The 24,417-nt window shown below is 41.4% G+C and overlaps 1 protein-coding gene across 1 annotated transcript in view; it reads right to left on the bottom strand.

Annotated features, from left to right (window-relative positions):
• SPON1 (spondin 1) overlaps positions 1-24,417 on the bottom strand; it is a 305,411-nt gene that overhangs the window by 221,338 nt on the left and 59,656 nt on the right. The window contains exon 3 of the mRNA NM_006108.4: positions 5,142-5,275. Within this exon, the coding sequence (NP_006099.2) occupies positions 5,142-5,275 (134 nt within the window). The remainder of the gene's footprint in view (positions 1-5,141; positions 5,276-24,417) is intronic.

Below are 24,417 nucleotides of genomic sequence, written 5' to 3'. Positions count from 1 at the left end.
ACTATTAATTCAGTGCAAAGCCATTCGAAATCCCAAAATGATTTTTTATCAAACACAACAAACTTATTCTATGATTTGTCAGGAATTAGAAATCTGCTTGAATGACCATGAACAGTTTGAACTAGAAGACTAATGAGCAATGACTTGCTATCAAAACATAACCATTTCAAACCATTTTACACTATAAAATGGTGTGGGTTTCATGCAAGAATACATAAAAAGATCAACAGAACAGACCAGACCTGTATAAAAATTTTGCATTTAATGAAGTAGCATCTCAGCCCATCAAGGAAAGAATAAACTATTTGATAAATGGATGGGGGACAACTACCCATTTGGGGAAAAATAGGTAGATTTCAATTTCCCATCTATGGTGGATATCTTTGATTTGTTCCTCTGGATACCTGCTCTACTCTTCTGCTCCCTAGTTAAAGACTGAGAATACTCCGTAAAGATTATATCAATGGGCTCTGTGTTCCTGTAGTTGGAGCCACACCAAAGGGAGAGTCCACAAGGAATTAGAGAAAGGAGTAGGGTTGGGGTACCTGAGGCTAGTTGCTTCCCTTAACCGAAGGTCTTAGCTCCTGTAAAGGGGTGGTCCTCTCTACCCCATCCTCTCTGCCTTTTCCTTTTGCTTCTTCAGGCCCTCCTTGTATAGCCCTCCTTCACTGTTATTTTGCCCCCACCATTGTGAATAGACCCTTATTAAACTTTCCTCTGGCACCTCATTTTGAGCATGCCATCTATTTTCTGTGGTAGCTTATTAATATCATATCATTCACAACATTAAATTCCAGGAAGATTAAAGACCTACATTTATTTTAAAATCTATAAAATATGGGAATATATTTATAGCCTTAGGCATAGGAAAATTATTTTTGAACAAGACATAAAATCAAAATTCATAAAGGAAAGGATGGATACATTTGATTACATAAAAATTTCAAACTTTTGACTGATTAGACACCCACAAGCAAAGTTAAAAGAAAGGTGGAGAGAAATATTTGAAATTTACAACAAAGTGTCATTATCTGGACTACCTAAAGAGCAATTTTAAACATAAATATGTTCTAAATAAATCAAATTATTTTATATGTATGTAAATATATAAGATGTATTTACATATATTTATAAAAACATTTTATAAGCTATATTTTAAATATAATATATATATTAAAACAAAATTAAATATATAATTAAATTTTTATTATTATTTTTTAGATGGAGTCTCACTCTGTCCCCCAGACTGAATGGCAGTGGCAGGATCTCAGCTAACTGCAACCTCCATCTCCTGGGTTCAAGTGATTCTCCTGCCTCGGCCTCCTGAGTAGCTGGGATTACAGGCGCATGCCACCATACCTGGCTAATTTTTGTATTTTTAGAAGAGACGGGGGTTTCACCATGTTGGCCAGGCTGGTCTCGAACTCCCGACCTCAGGCGATCTGCCCCCCTCTCGGCTCGGCCTCCCAAAGTGCTGGGATTACAAGCAAGAGCCACCACGCCCGGCCGTGTAAATCAATTTTTAAAAGACAGATTATTAAAAAATGGACAAGAATATGAATGGGCCATTCACACAATCTTTATGAATCTTAAAGATTGATAATACCAAGTGCCATTGAGCAAGTAAAGATTTAGGCTCTCTTGTTCACAGTCAGGGAGAGTGTTTAAGTTGGCAAGCTTTCTGGAGAAAAATCTGGCAGCATCTAATAAAATTATAAATGTGCATCCCTTATGATCCCATTTCTTGGCATCTACTGTGGATAAAAACTTGGAAATTTGCTCAATAGGCAAGTTTCAGGATATTCATCATAACATTATTTGTCATAGTAAGACACCAGAAACAATCTAAATGTCCACTAACTTTGGAATAATTAACATCCATACCATAGACATGCAGCAGTTAAAAAACAAAAAGAGGTAGCTTTGTATGTACTGACCCAGACATATCTCTAATACATCTTATTTAGTGAAAAACCATTCAAGTTCAGGACATAACATGATACCATTTGTGTAACCTTAAATTCCCACAGGAATGAAACTATGTGCTTTTATGATTACCTTCGTGAATGTAAAAGCAGAGATAAGTCTAAAGCATACAAACCAAATTGATTCTATTATTGCCTTTGTGTAGAAAACTGGAATTGAGAGAGATGCTATGGATTTTATTTGTTTGTTTATTTATTTGAGATGGGGTTTCACTCTGTCACCCAGGCTGGAGTGCGGTGGCACAGTCTCGGCTCACTGCAACTGCCACCCCTCAGATTCAAGTTATTCTCCTGCCTCAGCCTCCCGAGTATCTGGGACTACAGGTGCGCACCACCACGCCCAGCTAATGTTTGTATTTTTAGTAAAGACAGGGTTTTGCCATGTTGACCAGGCTGGTCTTGAACTCCTTACCTCAAGTGATCTGCTTGCCTCAGCCTCCCAAAGTGCTGGGATTATAGGCATGAGCCACTGTGTCCAGCCAAGATGTCATGGATCTTTAACTTTTTCTTTATTCTGTATTTTTCTGTATTTTACTACTTTTTGTATTGTTTGAAATTTTACGAGGTGAATGCATTTATGTCCTGCCCATACAATTACTATTTATTTAATAAATAGTTGTAGCTTATATATGATTCCTTCAGAGAAAAAATAAATAAAAGAAAGGCAGAACATGGACTTTAATATTACATGGATTCATGACTTTAAAAAACTTGCCTAATATCCCCAGGGCCTGTCTCCTCCTCTGTAAAATGGGAGTCGTTTTCTGTGAAGATCAAATTAGACAAAGCCTGCTAGATGTGTGCTGAGTTCTTGGTACACAGAAAGCATTGGTTGACTTTTTCTCTCTCCCTTATTTGACTTGTAAGAACCTCCAGGGTCAAGAATATACCTCCATTGTGTATATCCTGGATGCCTGGGCTAATAGAAGCTCAGTTGCATTTGTTGGAAGAATGAGCAAATGAATAAGCCATACATGTTAATGGATAAACATATGTACACATAACGTTGATTGTTAATGGGTAAACAAGAGATGCCTTTCTGGCTTCCACCAAAAAGATCTAATGCTTCTGGGTTGTAAGAACAATAAATCAAAGAAAACCAGAGATCTGGGCCAGAGGGATGAGAGCTTTTAGAGCAGGAAGGCTCCTCACATAGATCTGACATTTTCAGCCCATCTTCTTTAGAGCTCCAGGCTCTGTGGAGCCATTGGGCTGTCATGGGTAGTGGGATGGGCACTGAGGGCCAAGCTGGGAACCCAGTCTCTGGGCTAAGAGTGAAAATACTAACAGACAATAGCAAGGTTATTTATCACAGTGACCATAGTACTCTGACCCCTAGTCTCTGGGCCCCAGCAATTGACACAGAAAATCAGCATTTGTCCAAGGAACTGTCAACTGCTCTATTTTTTGCCCTCACCACCTCCCCAACTTTCAACTCAGAACTAACCAGAGGAAGCCAAATATGCCCTCCAAACCAATCACATAAGATGCTCCACTTGTAGTTAGCCTGCCTCCAGCTTCCTCATGCCAAGGAACCTCCAATCAGTCTTCTCTTGTTTTCACTAGAAGGCTTTCCCAGTCCTCTGCCTGTCTTTGAGACTCTGCCAAATGCTAGTAATGGCAGCTGACTCCCTTGTTATACAACAGGCTCTGAACACACAGTCTCTGTTCTCATTTCAGGGGTCTTTGTTCATTTCCACAAGGCCATCTCCCACATTTTAACTAGATACTATAGACATGTTATATATTGACATTTATAGATATGATTTCATCTTTTAAAATTCTGATTTTTTCTTAATGACCAGTGTAGATTAATGCCAAGAGCCAAACTGCTCAAGGAATCTGAGGAAGGATGCTCAGCTTGCATTAAACTAAGAAAGAAACAAATAATGTCCAGACAGATGGCGGCAAAGGGAGGCCAGACAATGACGGGTGAGTCTGGACAATGGACAGATGCTTCAGAGATTCTGTGGGGTTTTTTCCATAAGCCAAGCACAGTGGAAGTCTAAGAACTGCAGGTATTGCGATGCCTAGGTGGGCTTTCTTATCGGGATCTCCTCAGGGGTGGGCTGGAGTTAACCACAGTTGTTAAGTCTGTCAAAATGACTATATTTGACAAATGAACCAAATACATAAATAAGACCTTCGAGGATTTAAAAAAGAGAAAGGCTGTTGGGAAGGTCTCAGTGCCTACTTCCATTAAAAAAAAGTGACTTCTTGGATGCTAGGACTGGAACCCTCTCCATCTACCCATGACTAATTTGCTGGTATGAAATCCTAACATTCTCAGCATCATTCCATATAGGACTTCAAACCTATTTAAAATAGATTATGCCTATGTTTCACCAAACTGTGAATGTTAATAGATGTCACCATAAATACTGGGTGAAACCAAATTAAACAGATTTTTTTTTTTCGCCAGGACTTTGCAAAACCTTCATTATGCTAGTATTATGAATCTGTAAGAAGGGTATCTAGTACACAGCATTTTGCAAACATTTGACCACAGAAATCATTTTCCTGCCCATCTATTTCCATTTCCCAAACCATCATTCTGTGGCACATAAGTTTGGAGAAACAGGTTTGAGATAATGCTACCTTCCAGAGGAAAACTCCTTTGGCTGGTTAATACCTTTTATCACCTATTATAACTCACTGAAAGGAGGTCAGGAGGCCAGATAGGAAGTGGCACCAGAGGGCCATTTTGATGGGCAAAGAAGAAGATAGCATCATAAAGTGGAGCTCAGGGCTAATGGAGGTCACATGTGGGTCTCGGGGCAGCCTAAGCAGTGTTTAAGGATTCTAGGTGCTGTATGTTCCGAGAAAAGAAAAAGTGTTAAATTCCAGGTGGAAAAAGTCAAAGATTATCTTCACCTGGTTTGTAATTTTTCTTAACCAGCCCTAATATAATTATCTCTGGTAGGACAGGGTGGCCAGGAGAATCATCCTATTTGATGAAAATAGAGATTCTAGCAAATGAATCTTTATGGAACACTTCACCAATGATAGTCTATGGTGCTATTGAGAATTCAGATAAGGGAGGGCAGAGAGATGATGCAACTTTCTGATGCTCAGTAAAGAACTTTTTTTTTTTTCCCTGCAATCACACCACAAAGTCTTTGATAAACTGCAGGGAAGGATTCCATGTTTACTTACTTCAGAATCACGCAGCCTGTTCCCGCTGGTGGTGCTATCCAAAACACCTGGATCCGGGTCCTCCTCCGTGGAGTGCTTTCAGTGACTGCAACAGGGCAATTGCTCATAAACTGAGTTTCTTCTTCGTCTATGATCTACGGAAAACCAGTGGGAAATAAATACATGCAACATCATTTTGAGAGGGCGCTTAAGCTTCTAAGTTGGTACTTCCTTAACTTTATTTTTAAACTTATCATTTTATGTTAGCAACTCTGTATCCCCAGGCACCAGAATAGTGCTTGGCATAAAGTCCCAGTCAACGCTTGTTGAATGAATTAACATTGTATGAGGACGCAGACTGGGCACATCTTTGCTCTCTGGGACCAAATCTTGTGTCAGCACTTTGAGGAATTAACCACTAGGTGATGATCTTGCTTATTTCAATAGAACGACCTGTGTCCCACTTTGGGGAAGAAGGAGGATGGGGGAGGGGTAATCCAAATCAAACACTGCATAGCAAAACTTCATAACTCAGCTACAATTTTATAACTTAAAATGTTAAAACACCCTTTTGGAGGAAGTATAGCAAAGTATATAAAGTATCCCAGCTTCATAGCACTTTTTACTAGCGCAGTTCCTACTTCCTTAATCTGTGCATTGTATTTACTAATCAGTATTCTCCCAAATTAACCATCAAAGTTTCCTATGATGCTACAAACAAGATGGTAGCCTTTCCCATTCCCCAAGGATGTTCCATCTCTTCTCCTGCCTGTTGCTTCTGGGCCTCCTGTGGTATTTCCCTATCCCTCTTGCAGAACTATAGTATATTAGACCTGAAAGGATCTTTTGGGAGAAAGTAATCTAAATCCAATTGGTTTTAAGTGCCAACTCCAATAGATTGGTAGTAGCTGTATCATGAATAGTGTTGATAGCATTACTAGATAACATTCATTGAGTGTTTAATATGTTCTAGGCACTAAGTTAAGTGCTTTATCTGACTTAATCTTCAAAACACAATCTTATTAAATTATTATACCTATATTGTATTTATTTTACTTTTAAAAATTCCTTTTCTTTTTAGGACAACAGACAAAAGGAATGAAGTACCTCAAACTCCATAGTTTATCATATAATTTTATCACTGGACAAAGCAAAGACCATTTTCTATTACTTTTTATCTTTATACTTTTTATCCTACTTCCATTTTTCCTCCTCTACTTAGCATTCACTCCTAAGTATTTGTGTTGTTCTGAGTGTGTGTGTGTTATTTAGAATTGTTTTGTGTTTTAATGGTTCTTTCATTCAACTTTACACTTTTGAGCTATATCATTGTTACTACATGTAAATGTAATTTGTTTATGACTGTTGCCTAGTATTCCATTGCATGCATAGATCACATTTTATGTAACCATTCTTCCAGTGAGGGGCACTTAGTTGACTTCCAGTTCCTTGTCTCCACAAATATTGATGTAATGAAGAACCTCATGCTGCTGTACTTGTGATCAGAGTTTCTCAGCAAGATTGATAATGTAGTAGGATTGCTAAGTTGTGGGTATAGTCATATTAATTTCACTAAGTACTGCAGAATAGCTATACCTTTTATTCTATCAGCCATGTACTAGTGTTCCTAATTTCCTCCATATCCTCACCAGTACTTGTTATTACTGGATTTTCTAACTGTTTCCAATCTGATGCTTATAATGTAGTATCTTATTTTAATGTTACTACATTTGATCATCTTCACAAATTTATCAGGTTTGCCTTTCTGCAAATTGTCTATTCAAAATCTTTGCCAGTGGATTCTATTGTCTTTTTCTTGCTGTTTTGGGGGATTTTCTAGACATGAATACCTCAACATCTACAAATATCTTTTCCTTTCTGGCACCCAGAGGTTAGTCTTACCTTTGGAATTCTTCATTTAGCAGAAATAACTTTCTTCTAGTCAAATTCATCAACTTATCTCCTATGGCTTGCACTTTTATGATCTTGCCTAAAGAAACTGAGATCATATAGATATTCTCCAATATTTTCTTTCATTAGCTTTATAATTTTCCCTTTCACATTTAGGTCTTCAATCCATTTGGAGTTTATTTTTTAATATGATAGAGTAGGGATCCAACTTCATTTTTTAAAAAAACATTAATAAATTTTATTTTCTTAGAGCACTTTTAGGTTCACAGCAAAACTGAGTGGAAAGTACAGGGTTATCCCACATATTCCCTGTCCCTTCACCCCTACACACACATACACACACACAGTCTCCCTCACTATCAACATCCTATATCAGAATGATACATTTGTTACAATCAATGAGCCTATATTAACATATCATTATCCTGCAAAGTCCACAGTTTACATTATGCTGCTCTCCTGGTATTATACATCTTATGGGTTTTGACAAATGTATAATGAGATGTATCCACCATTGTAGTATCATATGAAATAGTTTCACTGGCCCAGAAATCCTCTGTGCTCTTCTTATTCATCCCTTGTTCTTCCCAACCACTAATCTTTTCTATCTCCACAGTTTTGCCTTTTCCTGAATGTCATAGAATTGGAATCATACAGTATGTAGCTTTTCCAGATTGGCTTCTTTCACTTAGTAATATGCATTTAAGTTTCCTCTCTGTATTTTCATGACTTAATAGCTCATTTCTTTTTTAGCACTGAATGACATCTGATTGTCTGAAAGTACCACAGTTTATCCACTCACTTACGGAAGGATATCTTGGTTACTTCTGAGTTTTGGCAATTATGAATAAAGCTGCTATAAACGTCCATGTGCAGGTTTTTGGGTGGACATAAAATTTTTAGTTCATTTGGGTAAATACCAAAGAGCACAATTGCTGGATCATATGGCAATAGTATATTTAGATTTAACTGCCAAACTGTCTTCCAAAGCAGCTTTACCATTTTGCATTTCCACCAGCAACAATTAGAGTTCCTGTTGTTCCACATCCTCCACAGGATTTGATGTTGTCATTGTGTTGGATTTTGGTCATTCTAATAGATGTATAGTGGTATCTCATTATTGTTTTAATTTGTAACACCCTAATGACGTATGATGTTGAACATATTTTTATTTGCTTACTTGCCATCTGTATATTTTCTTTGGTGAGGTTTCTGTTTGGGTCTTTTACCATTTTTTATTTGGGTTGTTCACTTTCTTAATGTTGAGTTGTTTGTTTTGTTTTGTTTTGTTTTTTTGAGATGGAGTCTCATTCTATTGCCCAGGCTGGAGTGCAGTGGTGCCATCTCAGCTCACTATAACCTCTGCCTCCCACGTTCAGGCAATTTTCCTGCCTCAGCCTTCCAAGTAGCTAGGATTACAGGTGCCCACCACCACGTCTGACTAAACTTTTTTGTATTTTTAGTAGAGATGGGGTTTCACCATGTTGGCCAGGCTGGTTTTGAACTCCTGACCTCAAGTGGTCCGCCCACCTTGGCCTCCCAAAGTGCTAGGATTAAAGGCATGAGCTGCCACGCCCAGTCGTTATTTATTTATTTTTTGAGACAGAGTCCCACTCTGTCACCCAGGCTGGAGTGCAGTGGCACGATCTCGGCTCACTGCAACCCCTACCTCCCGGGTTCAAGTGATTCTCCTGCCTCAGCCTCCCAAGCAGCTGGGATTACAGGTGTGTGCCACTACACCCAGCTAATTTTTGTATTTTTAGTAGAGACAGGGTTTCATCATGTTGGCCAGGCTGGTCTCGAACTCCTGACCTCAAGTGATCCGCCTGCCTTGGCCTCCCAAAGTGCTGGAATTAAGACCCACCGCGCCTGGCCCTTAATGTTGAGTTTTAAGAGTTTTTTGCATATTTTGGATAGCAGTTCTTTATCAGATATGTCTTTTGCAAATACTTTCTTCAAATCTGTGGCTTGTCTTCTCATTCTCTTGACAGTGTCTTTCACACAGCAAAAGTTTTAAATTTTAATGAAGTCCAACTTATCAATTATTTCTTTCATGGATAATGCTTTTGGTGTTGTACTTAAAAAATCACTGCCATATCCAATGTCATCTAGGTTTTCTTCTGTGTTGTCTTCTAGGAGTTTTATAGTTCTGCATTTTACACTTAGGTCTGTAATCCATTTTGAGTTAATTTTTGTGAGGGGTGTAAGGTCTATGTCTAGATTCTTTTTTTTTTTCTACATGTGGATATGCAGTTGTTTCAGCACCATTTGTTGAAAAGACTATCTTTGCTCTATTATATTACCTTTGCTCCTTTGTCAAAGATCAGTTGACTATATTTGTGTGGGTCTATTTCTGGGCTTTTTATTATACTCCATTGCTCTGTTAGACTATTTTTTTACTAATACCACACTGTCTTGGTCCCATCCCTTCTTCCCAACTCTAACAATTATCTCCTTACTCTTCTCTGGATTCAACTTGTGCTCCAACTGAATTGTTGTCATTGTCTTTTAAGCACATTCAAATCTCTCCCATTAAAAAGCTGAGACGAGTTAATGGGTGCAGCACACCAACATGGCATATGTATACATATGTAACAAACCTGCACATTGTGCACATGTACCCTAAAACTTAAAGTATAATAATAATAAAATTAAAAAAAAAGCTGAGACCTTACTTAACTCTTCATCCCCCTCCAGTTACGGTCTTCTCTCTCTCTTCATCACAATGAAATTACTTGAATAAGGTAGCTATACTTACTGTCTTCCCTTCACCTCCCACTTATTCATCAACCCAGTTCTGTGTATTTTCAGGCCACATTGCACTACCAAAATAACTCTAGCTAAGCTTCTGCAATGCTTAATCCAATGGATCCTATGTCATCCTTCTTCTCAACTGACTCTCCTCCCTTGCCTTCTGTGCCATAGCTCCTTCTTGGTGCCCTCCCCCAACTTCCCCCATCCACTCTCTCCACTTTCTTTGGCTACTCATCTTCCACTACTGGCCTTTAAATTTGAACTTGCTCAAGGTTCAGTCGTAAACCCTCTCCTGTTCTGACTTGATTCTTTATCTGTAGGTGATCTCATTCAACTCATGGCTTTAATTACTACCTCTGTATAGATGATTCATTCGTTTATATTTCTAGTGTTGGCTGCTTCTCTGAGTTCCAGGCATGTATCTCCAACTTTCTATCTTTTACTTGCATTTACCTTTTGATATATCAGAAACACCTCAAATATACCCTGTTAATAACTAACCTAACCATTAACCGTCTTTCCTCTAACCTGGTCCTACTCCAATTGTGCAAGTCGGAAACCCTGGAGGTCACCCTTGGCTCTTCCTTGCCTTCATCCTCCATATTTAAATGTTGTCCATCTTACCTTCCAAATATCTCCTGAATGTCTACCACCATTCTTACTATTACCCTGGACTAAGCTACATCATTTCTTCTCTGAACTAATGTAACATCATTCTAACTGTCTTTATATACTCTCTCGTCTTTCTCCAATTTGTTATCTATACTGCAAGCCACAGGCCTTTTAAAAACACAAATATCATTACAATATAATTATCTCCTTCCTCAGAGTATTTCAACAGCTTTTCATTGCTTTCAGAATCAAGACTGAAATCCTACACAGAGGCTAGTTCCTGCCTCCCTGCCTCTAGCCTCACATTGTGCCATCTCCCTCCTTGCTTCCTGCACTTTGTACACTGGTCAGGTGTCTTCTCCTGCCAAGGCCCTGGTCAATTCCTATTTCCAAAGCCTTTTTAAAAATAGTCATCATTTCATCACCACTTTGCAAGGTAGCTGGTACTAATAAGTGTGCACTGTAAGAATGAAGTGTAGTAGGCTGGGCATGGTGGCTCATGCCTGTAACCCCAGCACTTTGGGAGGCCAAGGCAAGAGGATTGCTTGAGCTTAGGAGTTCGAGATCAGCCTGGGTAACGTAGTGAGGCCCCATCTCTATAAAAAAATAAAAAATTAGCCAGCTGTGATGGTGCACACTTGTGGTCTCAGCTACTTGGGAGGCTGAGGTAGAAGGATTGCTTAAACTCAGGAAGTTGAGGCTACAGTGAACTGTGATTGTGCCACTGCACTCCAGTCTGGGTGACAGAGTGAGACCCTGTCTTAAAAAAAAAAAAAAAAAAAAAGAACTAAGTGTACTTGCCTCCTCCCTTTTGTTGTGAGGTTCCTGGCTATATGACTTGGCCACAATATGTGTCTCAGCTCCTTTAATTAGATAATTCCCTGGACTTCCTTCTGAATTTGGACTTTGTTTCCCTAGATGGTTATTAATAGCCTTGATAATAATAATAGCATTTTTCAGCACTTTCTCTTGATGAAGACCTTTACATATATTATTTCCATTCCCTCAAACACTGAAAAATAAGCATTATTAAACCCACCCCTTAGGAAACTACTGTAATGCAGATGGGTTCAACAACCTGTCCAAAGTCCCAGAATGGCAGAGCTAGGGCTTGAGGTCAGCCCTACTTGGCCATAATGTCCATGCTCTTTCCCCTATGCTACAGTCCCTCCTAATAGTGCCATATCCTTTATGATAGGCAGGAAATTTCTCTCTAGCCAATCCTAGTCCCATGAAACCACATACACTGGACCAACCCACAACAAAAGACCCCACTCCACTCCAACATACACATAAGTACTTGGTAAAAGTGAATAGTACTTTTGCTTCATATTTTCTTAACAGGTTCTTAGACTCTCTTCTGCAGCTTTGTTGACGTGAGGGTAGGTTTCCAAACAATGTGATTTTCTTGGACTTGCAGAATAGTGAGTCCAGTGAGGACCCTGTTTGCTGATGGTCGCAGAGAACTTTGGCAGGAATTTTTAATCCTAAATCTTTAAAATCCTTGGGAAGGTTCTGGGTGACTACACTGGGAAAGCCAAAAGGCACTCATATCGAGTTAACATTTATTATCTGCCAGGTACCTAGCATGGTCATATCACTGGACCTTTGATAGGAACAGAAGATTTTACAGATGAGGAACTGGAGCTCAGAGTGATCTGTCTGGATTCAGACCCAGGGTTGTCTGAAGCCAAAGTCCATGCTCTCTCCAGGTGAACTCTGACCAAGATCCCAGGGGGACATAAGACTAAGACCCTTGGCCCAGAAGTGAAACAAAGAAGAATGTTCTCCAATCCATAGAAGCTACCTCAGGTAAATACGGTTGTTTATCCACAACCTCAGTTGCCAGATGGTAATTAAACATTGAACAGAAGGAGTTATTTCTCTCGATCCAGAGAATCCTCCAAACATTGTTTGCTTCTCAGAAAATATCAGCTTCTTCTGAAAAGCCTTGCACTATCAGAACCTGCTCTCAAACCTCCTGGCAATCCCAAACGTCTCCACACTCGTCATCTAGAGTGGGTCTCAGAATCCTACCGTGTTAGCTACCAACTAAATGGCAGTCATTCATTTCAATCTGTGATTTCTTTTTACCTAAGACAGAAAATTAAAACATATTACAATGGAGTGGTTGTGTCTAGTAATAGTATTATGGGTGATTTTTATTTCCTTTGTATAATTTTTGTGTTTTCTAAATTTTCAACAATGATGATGTATTACTTTAGATGAAGAGGTTATACATTTTTCTTTTTTTAAATAGGATCTTACTATGTTGCCCAGGCTGGCTGTGAACTCCTGGGTTCAAGTAATCCTCTCGCTTCAGCCTCCTGAGTAGCTTGGATGATAGGTATATGCCACCACACCCAGCTTAATATTTTTAAAGGACCTAATTACAACATTCCAATGATAACATTTCTATTTTATATATAGGTTTAAATAAACCTTCTTGGGTTAAGTTTAAGTTTAAAGTCACTTTGGGAGAGATTTGCTGATAAGGCAGCTGCTTGACTCCTTGCAAGAGACGGAGAAATCTTAATCTGTGACTGGTTCCCATCCAGCCAGGTGAGACAACCCAGATATCCACCAAGTTTAGACAGGTAGACAAGGTTTGATTTCCCCAATACTTGTCAGTCTATTGTTAAAGCAACTGGTTGGGTATCTGGTCATGAATATGCCTTTTCAAATATCAGGGGCATTTTAAGCTAATAGAATGATTTTTCTAGGCTTCTAAAACTTTTCATTGAATGCAGTCTTAGTCCTAAATCACATGCCATACCCATTTTGAAACCTACATCATGACCCATCTTTACTCTGAGGGTGCCTACTCTTCCCTCAGCCTATTTATGGGCTTTTCTTTTTCAGATCTGAACATACAACCCTTCTTCCCTAAATCTAATCTTGACTCCCCTCCTCAACTCTGATCTGGATTATCTCCCCTGATACGTCACCTCCTCACACTTTCTGGTTCAAGAGACACAAGCCTCAAGAGATGAACCTGAACAGCATCAAGGTCCCAGAGGAAGTTGCAAGCGTTCTAACACGTGGGTGGGCCATGGCAGTGAGACATCTAGGAGAATACGATTCCAAAGTCCACGTAAGTGGCATCTGGGACATTTGTCTTCAGGAAGCAGAGCCCCAGACACAGAGGTCAGGACTAGTGGCCAGGTCAGGGCTCCAGTTCCCACATGAGAATCAAGGAGAAGTCAGATAATTAGAACAGGAACTTGGAATAGCATCCACAGCAGGAAACTAGTCCCATGAACATGGGCTTGGAGCAGAGTGAGCAGGAGAGGCTAGTCTTAGAAACTGGGCCTTGGGATAAGAAGGGACATCTTCTGTGGAGGATGTGAGATGTGATTAAGGAAACAACTCAGGGGACTCAGTGGTCAATGCTGAGGCACCACGACCAAAGTTTCCTATCAGGGATAGTGGTGTGATAACCCCCAATTGAGGACAGCAGCTTCTGGTCTGGGTATGTGGGTACTGGGTGGGCTGGGCCTGAAGAACAGGGCATTGGGACATCTAAATATGCACTGTTGAGTCAGGGAGTATAGGGGGCACTGAAGTTAGGGACCAGGGTGGGGAATGAGGGAAGACATGTGCTATGACACCACTTTATAAATATTTCTTCTCTAGAGGTGTCATGAGAAGTAGTGTGATAGAGTAAAAAGTAGATGAATGTTTGAGGCAGGTAGATTTGGACTAAATCATGGCTCTGCCACTTTCTAATTAGATGACTTTGACCACACCAAGCTACTTGACCTCTCTGGGTCTGTTTTCTCATCTGCAAAATGAGGATGATAATATCCATCTTGCTTGATGGACAGAAGGAATAGATGAGATAGTATTGACGAAGCAGCCAGCAGCTGTTAACAGGCCCTCGGTATGTTGTGGTTCCCCTTGTGTGCCGTGCACCCCTCTCCTAACTGGTCGTGGCCCACATCCCCAGAGGGAAGCATTAACACCACAGGCTGGCTAACATGGGAGGAAGACACTTTTAAGAGGGGAAACAAATAAGCTTCTTATAATTACTCCATACAGATATTTGTTCATCGTAGAAAATCAGAAAACATAGGGGAGCAAAAAATATGAAACAAACGTTCCTGATCATTCCACCACCCCAAGATAGTTATTAATATTTTGGTGTATATCATTTTAGATTGTGCATACATATACATATAAAAATGTAATTCTAAAAGACAGGATTAAAGTATGCTTCCCATGTTATAACTCGTCATTTCACACCATATCACGAACATATTTCTTTTCCATTTAATGTACAATCCCAATAAAATTTTTAATGGCAGCATAATACCTCATCTTATTTGGTCCACATTTTACCTAACAAACCTCAGCACGTTGAACATTTTGTTGTTTATAATTTGGGGCTATTATGATCCCCCTTAGCTAAATTTGACATCTTAAGTTTTTTCTGGAAATGAAATTAATGTAGTTTATTATTGCTGAATCTGCCCAGGAAGGGCTTTCTAACTACTTCAGTAAAACCTGAGAGAGAATCCAAAGAAAATAATCCCAGTCATTGAATCACCTCTTACTAGTTTCCTACGTGTATTTTTTCAATCTGAAAGCCATGGAAGGAAAGACAGTTGCTTTTGTCTTTTATGAAAGGGCTTTCAATATAGATTTTTTAAAATTCAGATTTTGCCCTTATTGATTTAAAAAGTAAGTTTATCATAGAAACGTTAACCAGGACAGAAAAGTAAAGGAAAAAAAAAAATCCTCCACTGTTTGAATAATTTTGGTTTGTTTCCTTCTAGCCTTTTCTCCATGTATTCTTTAAAATTTGTTAATAGCGGTACTGATTTTGTTTATATAATGTGTCTTGTTTCTTTTTCCATTTGTCCTAGGAGCCTCAATATTTTTCCAGGTTTTTCTGAACTTAACAGAAACATAATTTGAATGGCTGCATTGACTGCGTTATTCAGTGTACTTTTTGTCAGTGGCCTCTCTTCTAAACTGTAAAGATTTAGGCTTAAATCCTGTCCCTTTTCCCTACAAATACCCCCATCTTCCAGCCTAACTTTCACAAAAGTTATAGCATCCTTTTTAAAAATATATAATTTCAACTTCAGGGTGTACATGTACAGGTTTGTTACGAATGATCCCATCACCCAGGTAGTGAGCACAGTACACAAAAGGTAGTCTTTCAGACCTTTCCCCATTAATCTCTTCCTGCTCCGGTAGCCCCTGGTGTCTATCATTTCCATCTTTATGTCCATATGAATCCAGTGTTTTGCTCCCACTTACAAGTGAGAACATGTGGTATTGGTTTTCTGTTCCTGAGTTAATTTGCTTCGGATGATGGCCTCCAGCTGCATCCATATTGCTGCAAAGGATAGATTTTATTATTTATAGCTATGTAGTATTCCATGGTATATATGTACCACATTTTCTTTATCCAGTTCACCACTGACAAACACCTAAGTTGATGCCATGTCGTTGCTATTGTGAATAGTACTGTAATGAACATATGAGTGCTTATGTCTTTTTTGTAGAACAATTTATTTTCCTTTGCATATATACCCAGTAATGGGATTGCTGGAACAAATCCTAGTTCTGTTTTTAGTTCTTGGAGAAATCTCCAAACTGCTTTCCACAGTGGACAAACTAACTTACATTCCCACCTACAGTGTACAAGTGTTCCCTTTTCTCCGCAGCCTTGCTAGCATCTGTTATTTTTTGTCTTTTTAACAACAGCCATTCTGACTGCTGTTAGGTGGTGCCTCGTTGTAGTTTTGATTTGCATGTCTCTGAACTAGCATCCCTTTTTGCATTAGCATCTCTTCAAACGGATTCTTACCTCCATCTTATTCATCTTTTAAAATCTCACTTGCTTTATTTTCTCTTCCCGGGAGTGTACCCTGTGCTTTCCAGACTTGAGAAGCACGTGGGATTGTGGGGGAGGTGACGTGGCCACGAGCACCATTGGCGGACCCTCTGGCACCGGGCATGTGGCATCCAATCCACAGAAGTTTAGTCCTGAGAAACACCAGATTGCATTTCTCCCCCAAAAGCAGATTAATCCTCCATGCTATGTGAGTTGTTTCACATATTAGGAGCACAGACAGCAGGCCAGGCTTGGGAGCAAGGCTGGGCCAAGATGCGTAGGCGCCCTGGGCAGGCTAATAACCTGGCCCCCTTTCAAAACGATATTCTCTAAATATTTGCCCAACATTCATTTGGAGGATAGGCTGAGTGCTGCGTGGGAGGAGGGCAGGCAGACTGCCAGCTCAGCACTGCTCACTCTATTAACCTGAGTAGTTCAACTGCTGCCCTAAACTTGCATACCTCACCCAGCAACTAAGAGGCCTGGAAGGTCACTGAGATACCAGCTCTTGTCACTTAAGTGCTCTTGGGGGTTTTCCCCCTACCAGGAGACAATACAAAGTCCTAGGAGAGTCCAGCAGCCTATTTATTACTGGTGTGACTCTGGCAAGTTCCTTAACTTTTCTGGACTGATTCTCCTTATCTGTAAAATGGGGACTGATAATAGCATCTACCTCAATGGGCCAGAAGTGTTTATATGAATTCATATACAAAGTTGTTAGAGAAGCTTCTGGCACAAAACCAGTGGAGACAGGAGGCAGCCAAGGGTCCCCAGCAAAACTCCATATTTAAACCTAAAACAGCCTGAAGGCTGAAAAACCTGACTACACTTCCTGGATGAAGCCACCCTTTCCTGACTGATTCTTTCTGAATAACGCCCACCTGAGCACTGGGAGAATGGGGTGGAGCCTCAGGAAGTTCAGTGGGGAGGAGCCTGGCCTCTCCCGTTGCTATGTGGTGACCTGGGATTCAACGTGTGAGGCGGGAAACCTGATAGGAGGACTCTCTCACTTTGCTGAGAGTTGCTTTTCCTTTTTCCTTTTCACCCAATAAATTCTGTTTTCCTCACCATTCTGTGTCCACAAGCCTAATCTTTTCCTGATCATGTGACAAGAGCCCGGTTTTGGCTGAACTAAGGAGAAAGTTTATCAACAAAACTATCAGTGTATATTATAATCACTGTGCATTGATAAATATTATTATTATCATTCTCGTGTCCCGCTTGCTCTCAACAATTCTGGTAAAGACCATTTTCTCCACTGTATTACATTTCCAGCAGCATTTTAGTTCTCTTTACAGACTGGTATCCAGGGTACCAGCCCAGCTGGCCTGCACCTAAATCCAGTTTGGCTTGGGAGCCTCAAGTACAATGGACAGGCTCCAGTAGAACTGGGCACACACATGCTTGTGTGTGTGTGTGTGTGTGTAGGGGTCACTGCCTGAATCATGGTGTAGTCCTCAGTTAGAATAGAAAGCCTCATCTTCCAGGTGAGAATTGGAAGATGCTGAGAAAAGTAGAGACAGACTTCGGGAAAGTGGTAATTTTTCAGGGGTGGGTAATCCTCAATAAGAAAAGAGCTATCTCCTCTAGAAAAACCAGGAAGAGGAGGAGGAATTATCCTTCAAACCAGGTGAAATGTGCTCCTGGAATCCTGAGAGGTAGCATGGGGTAGTGGGGAGAGAAGATGTGGACTTTGGAGCCAGCAGACATAGGTCTGATTTCTGCCTTAGCTACTGAATGACCTTGAGTAAAGTCACCCAACTCTCTGTGAGTACACATCCTTATGTGGAAAATGGCTACACATGATGAAAGATGTCCTGTGTACAGAGCCCAGAAGGGGACCTGGAGCTGCTAGATGCTTGATGACCATGACTTTGAGTCATTGAAGTGACAATCAGAGAATGGGCCCTGGTGGCATCTTGAGTGCCTAGAGCCTAGTAGGTGATTGATGCATATACACTGAATAAGTGGGAAGATTCTCACTGGCTATATGTAAATGCCAGTGAATCTCAGAATATCTAGTGTTTAATAAGTAAATACCCTATATTCTTTTTTAAAATTTTATTTTTATTTATTTTTGAGACAGGGTCTCACTCTGTGCCCCGGCTAGAGTGAAGTGACAAGATCATAGCTCACTATAACCTTGAACTCCTGGACTCAAGCAATCCTATCTAGTAGCTAGGACCACAGGCACACGCCACCATGCCGAGGTAATATTTTTTATTTTTTATATTTTGTAGAGATGAGGTCTATGTTGCCCAGGTTGGTCTCAAACTCCTGGGTTCAAGCAATCCTCCTGCCTCAGCCTCCCAAAGAGCTGAGATTACAGGTGTGAGCCACCAAACCTGGCACAGACTCTACATTCTTGCTAACACTTTGTATCCATTATTTCAAACAATAATCCAGTGAAGTGGGAATTATCCCCATTTTACAGATTCAGAAACTGGGACTAGCAAGTAGGGGGTCTGTATTAATATCCTCCATGACCCCAAAGCTAATAACCGCTGGATTTAACACACTGTACCCTTATTTTTCACATGAGGACCTGCTGTCAGTTTTGACTCAATACTAGAAAATCACTGATAAACAGGTTTTAAAAAATAGAACCATGTAATTGGGGGATTTTATTCAATGTAGTCTAATGCCTAGGAAATAAATCAGCCTTTTAAGTTTTATATAGCAGTACAGTTGAAATGTTTAATAATTATTGCCAGAGAACAGTATAATGCAGTACTAAAAATGAGTAATTGAAAAGCCCATCAAGGCAGATGAGGCATCTTCTTACTGAATTGCTCTTGAATACTTTACATAATTACTTCATTCAGATTTATGATCAGCTCAGCAAAACATACATCTCTCTATCCTGCTCCGCCTGAGTAGTTTGGGAAGCCTTTTTATATTGTGCTTACACCTTCAGGGATGGACAAATGAATGTCTCTTATACACTAATGGGGTTTGCAATGGTTTGATTTCATTTAGCAAAGGAAAAAGGAGCAAAAACTCAGTTTGCTGAGGTCCTTCTGTGTCCCAGTCACTGTGCTGGTGGTTTATTTGTATTAACTATGTCAGCTCATTTAAAGTCCCTGACAGTCCTGAGAAGGGATGGTGTTTTCCATCTCACAGAAGCAACTGAAGCTCAGAGGAATGTTGGAACTTGATCAGATTATTGAAGCTCATGGTAAACTCATACTAGGCAGTTTGGATCCAAACCTAGTGACCTTTCCACGACATCACCAACTTCCAGAAAGACCCCGTGTGCCCCAAGAGGGCTTGGAATTTTGGAAAGAGGCATCTAGTGAGGTCAGTCGAAGAAAACTGTTCCTAGCCAGATTTTGTTTGCAGCTCTGGCTCTTTAAACATCTGAGTTGTGGATGCTCCCCACCCCTGACCCCATTCCTTCATTTCTTACAACGCCAGTGCCTCCCGGCAGAGAGAAGTCCAGACGAGTCTCCTCAAGGGATGCAGTTTCCCATGGATTCAGTCTCCCCACTCAGCCCAGATCATCCCAGGCTGCAGGCTTTATCAGAGGCACAAGCTTATCATCTTGCCTCTCCCAGAGACTGCAGAGTGGGAGTTCTTGGCAAATTCAGTTTACTGGTAAGTGTGGACAAATGGCTGCCTGGATGAGATGACAGCCTTTGTTTCTGGTCTCACTTACATGTCAAAAGAGCCAAAAATGGGAAAAATGGGGAGAGAGGAGGAGACAAGTTGGGGTAACCTCACAGGCAGGAGAAATAATATAATCCCTTTAAAACATTTTACAATGCATTGAGAAGATTATACATAGAAGAGAAGGACTCTCCAACTCTCCTCCACCCTCGCTTAAGACAATGACATTTCCAGCAGACTGATTTTTCTTTCTCAACCTCCCTGTTATCCTTTCCTTAACCCTGAAGCTTGTTGTATTCTCTGCGTAAGTCAGCAGACATCGGCATGGGATCAAAACTGTTTGTGCACCCCGTTTCCCCCACCCCCTCGCCTTGAGAATAAACTCAGGCTCTGCTGAGGGTTATTTCAGAAGAGACTTAAACAAGTCACTGAATATCTTCCTTCTTTAGGACGTAAAAGCATGTCAGATTTCCCTCTTGTTTTAGAGTGACAATGGCAGACATCATGCACAGATGTATATCTTACTGAATATGGTACACATCCATGAACTTCCTTACACCCTTGGGAAATACCAAACTTTGATCTAATTATATTTTGACAATAAGAATCTCTCATCAAGTTATAGATTTATGGTAACACTCAAGGACTATTTGTCAAACACATCCAATGTGGTTATCAGCTGGTGGGTACTGAGCACTTACTTGCAAAACAAATCAAATATCTGAAGAGAATGCATTTTGTCTTTGTGCACCTGAAGGTGGAGGGTTGGGGGGAATACACTGATCAAATCATGCAGCAAAGAGAGCATTTCCCTCTGCTGTAGGGAGGCAATTGAGCTGGAAGCTGTGGGAAGGGAGCCGGAGGCTGGCTCCTGCCTTGCAGAGAAGCAGTGGACATGAGATGGATGACAGGAGGAAGCTCTTTCAGATAATTATTAGGAGCTGGAGAATCAGCTGTTGTGCTGTCAGTATGGTGTATTGTAGGATAAAGAACATAACAGGAAGGGAGTGGGGCTGGAAAGAACAAAGAGAGAGAAACAGGCAAAGGAACAATGGCATAGTTCTTGTCTCTGACCACGGACTATGGTCCACCTCTGTTACCCCTTTTACCCTCAGAGCAACCTCTGGGGGCTCTGGCCTTCCCAGACACTGCTCCCACTTCTTGTTCCTGGACTAGTCCTACTCATGGTCTCACCTGATGAGTCACTTCCTCTGGGAAGCATTTCCCAGCCCCAAGAACCCAGGTCTGATAGGCTGCACCCTCCACCTGCCAAACCACCACCCGCATGACCCTTTATCTTTGCCTCTCCAGCACTTCTTCACCCCACCCCTATAAGAACCACCTGGAAGGTTTGTGAAAATAGTGATGCCTAGCCCCACCCCAGAGCAGTGGAATCGACAGCTCCAGGCATGGGGCCAGGGCAGCAGTGACCTCCTAAGGGCTTCAGGTGATTTTGATGGACATTTAAGATGACAACCATCTTGCCTCTAGTTCGTCATATCTGAAAGCAGGGGCTGGTTCTACCTTGCTTACTTTTGGGTCACCAGCACCTAGCATTGTGCCTGGCACATCATATATACTTGATCAATATTTGTAGAATGAATAAATGAATTAATTAAAATTAAAGAGGTATTGCTACTCCCTTTTTAGAGAAGAGGAAATCGATTCATGAAGGCAAACTAGGTGGACTGCCATGGTAGTCTCAGAAGAGTCTGTAAGAGGAGGAATGAGAATGTAAGCTCCATGGGGGCAGGAGCCTTGTCTGTTTTATTTGACTGTGTTCCCGGTGCCTAGACTTGGGTCTGACATGGAACAGGAGCTTGGTACATGTTTGCTGAATAAATGACTGCACCCCCAGTCTCTTACTTTAAAACTCAATCTCTTCCCACTCTAGTTTGCTACCAGCCCTGCCTCTGCCATTATCTCTGTGGCTTTGCCCAAGTCACTTTTTCTCTCTAGAGATCAGTTTCCTAAAATGAGGAATTCAGATGATATGGCCTCCAGATTCTTTTCAGTTCTAATCATAGCAGACTGCCCTGATATACCTATATTGTCACTTGAAGGATGCAACTCCAGCTGTTATGCCAGCACCTTCCACACACACCAATGTCCTCACATTTCTCAGTGATGCGGAAGTAGGGCAGGGAAGCCCTGGGTAGAGAAGAGTGGGGTCCCTGGCAGGGGCTCCACCCTTGGGCCTGTGCCCATGGACCTAAGAGAGAACAGGCACTCTTGTTTTTGTGCCCAAATGTTGCATTTTCCAAGACCACTCTGGCCAGCCATGCCCCCCATCCTGTGCCCATATAAACCCGAGACCTTAGCAGGCACACACACAAGCGGCTAGACATCGGAGGAGCAGAGGACCACACCAGCAGACACTGGCAGACCAGCGATGGTGGAACAATGCGGACTCTGAGGGGAGTTCAGCCAGGGGCCATCAGAGGACAGTCTGCCACTGGGTAGCCTGACTCCAGGGGAAGACCACCTTCCCACTCCATCCCTCTTCTGGCCCCCCATCCATCTTGCTGAGCGCCACCTCCACCACTCAACAGAACCTTGCACCAAGCCCACCTGTGATCAAATTTTTCTGGTACACTGGGCAAGAACTCAGGATACAGAAAGCCCTCTGCTCTTGCGATAAGGCAGAGGGTCTACTTGAGCTGATTAACACAAGCCACCTGCAGATGGCAAAGCAGAAAGAGCACACTGTAACACACACCCACTGGGGCTTCAAGAGTCGTAAGCACTCACCCCAAGATACTGCCGTGGGGTTGAAGCCCAAAAGTGCTCCCCATGACCTCTGCACCTGTCCATCTGCATTCTCCCTTTAGGGGTTTGAGTACTAGGGCACTGAAGCAGCCAAGCCATACCACTGTCACATGCCTTGTGAGGGAGATAAGGTCCCCAAATTGCTCCTTCCAGTCTTTTTTTTTTTTCTTTGAGATGGAGTCTCGCACTGTCACCGAGGCTGGAGTGCAGTGGCCCAATCTTGGCTCACTCCAACCTCGGCCTCCCGGGTTCAAGTGATTCTCCTGCCTCAGCCTCCCAAGTAGCTGGGATTACAGGCGCCCACCACTACGCCCAGCTAATTTTTGTTTTCTTAGTAGAGATGGGGTTTCACCATGTTGGTCAGGCCGGTCTTGCACTCTTGACCTCATGATCTGCCCACCTCAGCCTCCCAAAGTGCTGGGATTACAGGCGTGAGCCACCGCACCTGGCCCAGTCTTTTTTCCATACTGCTCTTCCCTCCTTTCCTGCTTCCTGCTTCTATTATTTCTTCCTTTCGCAAGTGTTCCCAGTTGGCAGGCTGTGATCTGCAAAAGCTGACCTCCATCTCCCAGTCAGCCCACCTCCAAAGAACAAATCCATAGCTGAGAAAATGTGGTTATTAATTTATCATCTCCCTATATCCAATTCCAGAGAAAAACATCACTTTGTTGATATAGTTGTAGCACGAAGAGAGGGAACTTGTGTTGTTAATTATCTACTACACACTTGGCACTTCATTTATGTTATTTCATTTAAGCCTCACCTTTGACTGCCTGTCAGTTTTACCTTCACAGTATTTCTCTCCAGCACCCTAAAGCACCCAAACTCAATAAACCACTGCAACAACCTTCTAACTTATCTCTCTGCTTCCATACTTAGCCCCTACAATCCAATCTTCCCACAGAAGCCAGAGCGCACATTTAAAATAATAAATCATGTCACTTCCCTGTTTAAAGACTTCCAGTGGCTTTCCATTACACTTAAAATCCAAACTTTATAATGCCAGCTTGCAATTCCCCACCTAATCTGGTCCCTGCCAACTTCTCAGGCATCATCTCCTGCCACCATTTGTCTCACCCACCGAGCTCCAGTTCCTTAAACAAGCAGAGCTCCCTCCACCTCAGAGCCTTGGATGGTTCCCTTTGGCTGTCGTCATCCTACATGATCCCGCCCACAAACCTTAAGGAGTTAGGAAGGAAAAGAGGGAGGAACAAATTTAGATATGCCTGAGGCTTCCGTGGCAGCTGGTTTTCCAGTTGAACCTACATGAACCTGCTTTTAACCCTACTCCTCACCTTTGTCTTCTCAGCGTGCAGGTGGTTGCAGCAACTCAAAGCGTTCTTTGGATAAAGTCGAATGTATGGGCAAAATGTGGGTAAAGAACCCAAAACATTGCCTTCTCTTCCCTATGAAAAGGTTTCAGTAATTCATTGCTTGATTTTTTAGATGAACAGGGAAGAAAAGCTTAACTTTGAGGGAAAGAAGCTAAAGTTTATTGAGCTATGCAGCAGCCCTTTTAACATGATTTGGTTGAATCAGCTGAACAATCCACTGAAACAGGTTTTATAATCCCCATTTTATAGAGGAGGAAACAGATTCAGAGGATTTCAGCAATTTCCTGAGGACCACACGACTGTACTAATGAACAGAGCCAATATTCCACCCGGTCATATTTAGATCCCAAATCTCAAGCTCTCTTCTGCCATATCATCTTGCTTTGCTAAGTGTATCCTTTCTTCCCAGCAAAACAACCTCAGAGTAAACATCAATGTATGAGTAAGTAATGACTAAGAT

Source organism: Homo sapiens, chromosome 11 (genome assembly GCF_000001405.40).
Source record: "Homo sapiens chromosome 11, GRCh38.p14 Primary Assembly".
NCBI lineage: Eukaryota > Metazoa > Chordata > Mammalia > Primates > Hominidae > Homo > Homo sapiens.
Note: the sequence above shows the minus strand (reverse complement) of the source record. Positions and strands in the feature narration are given on the sequence as shown.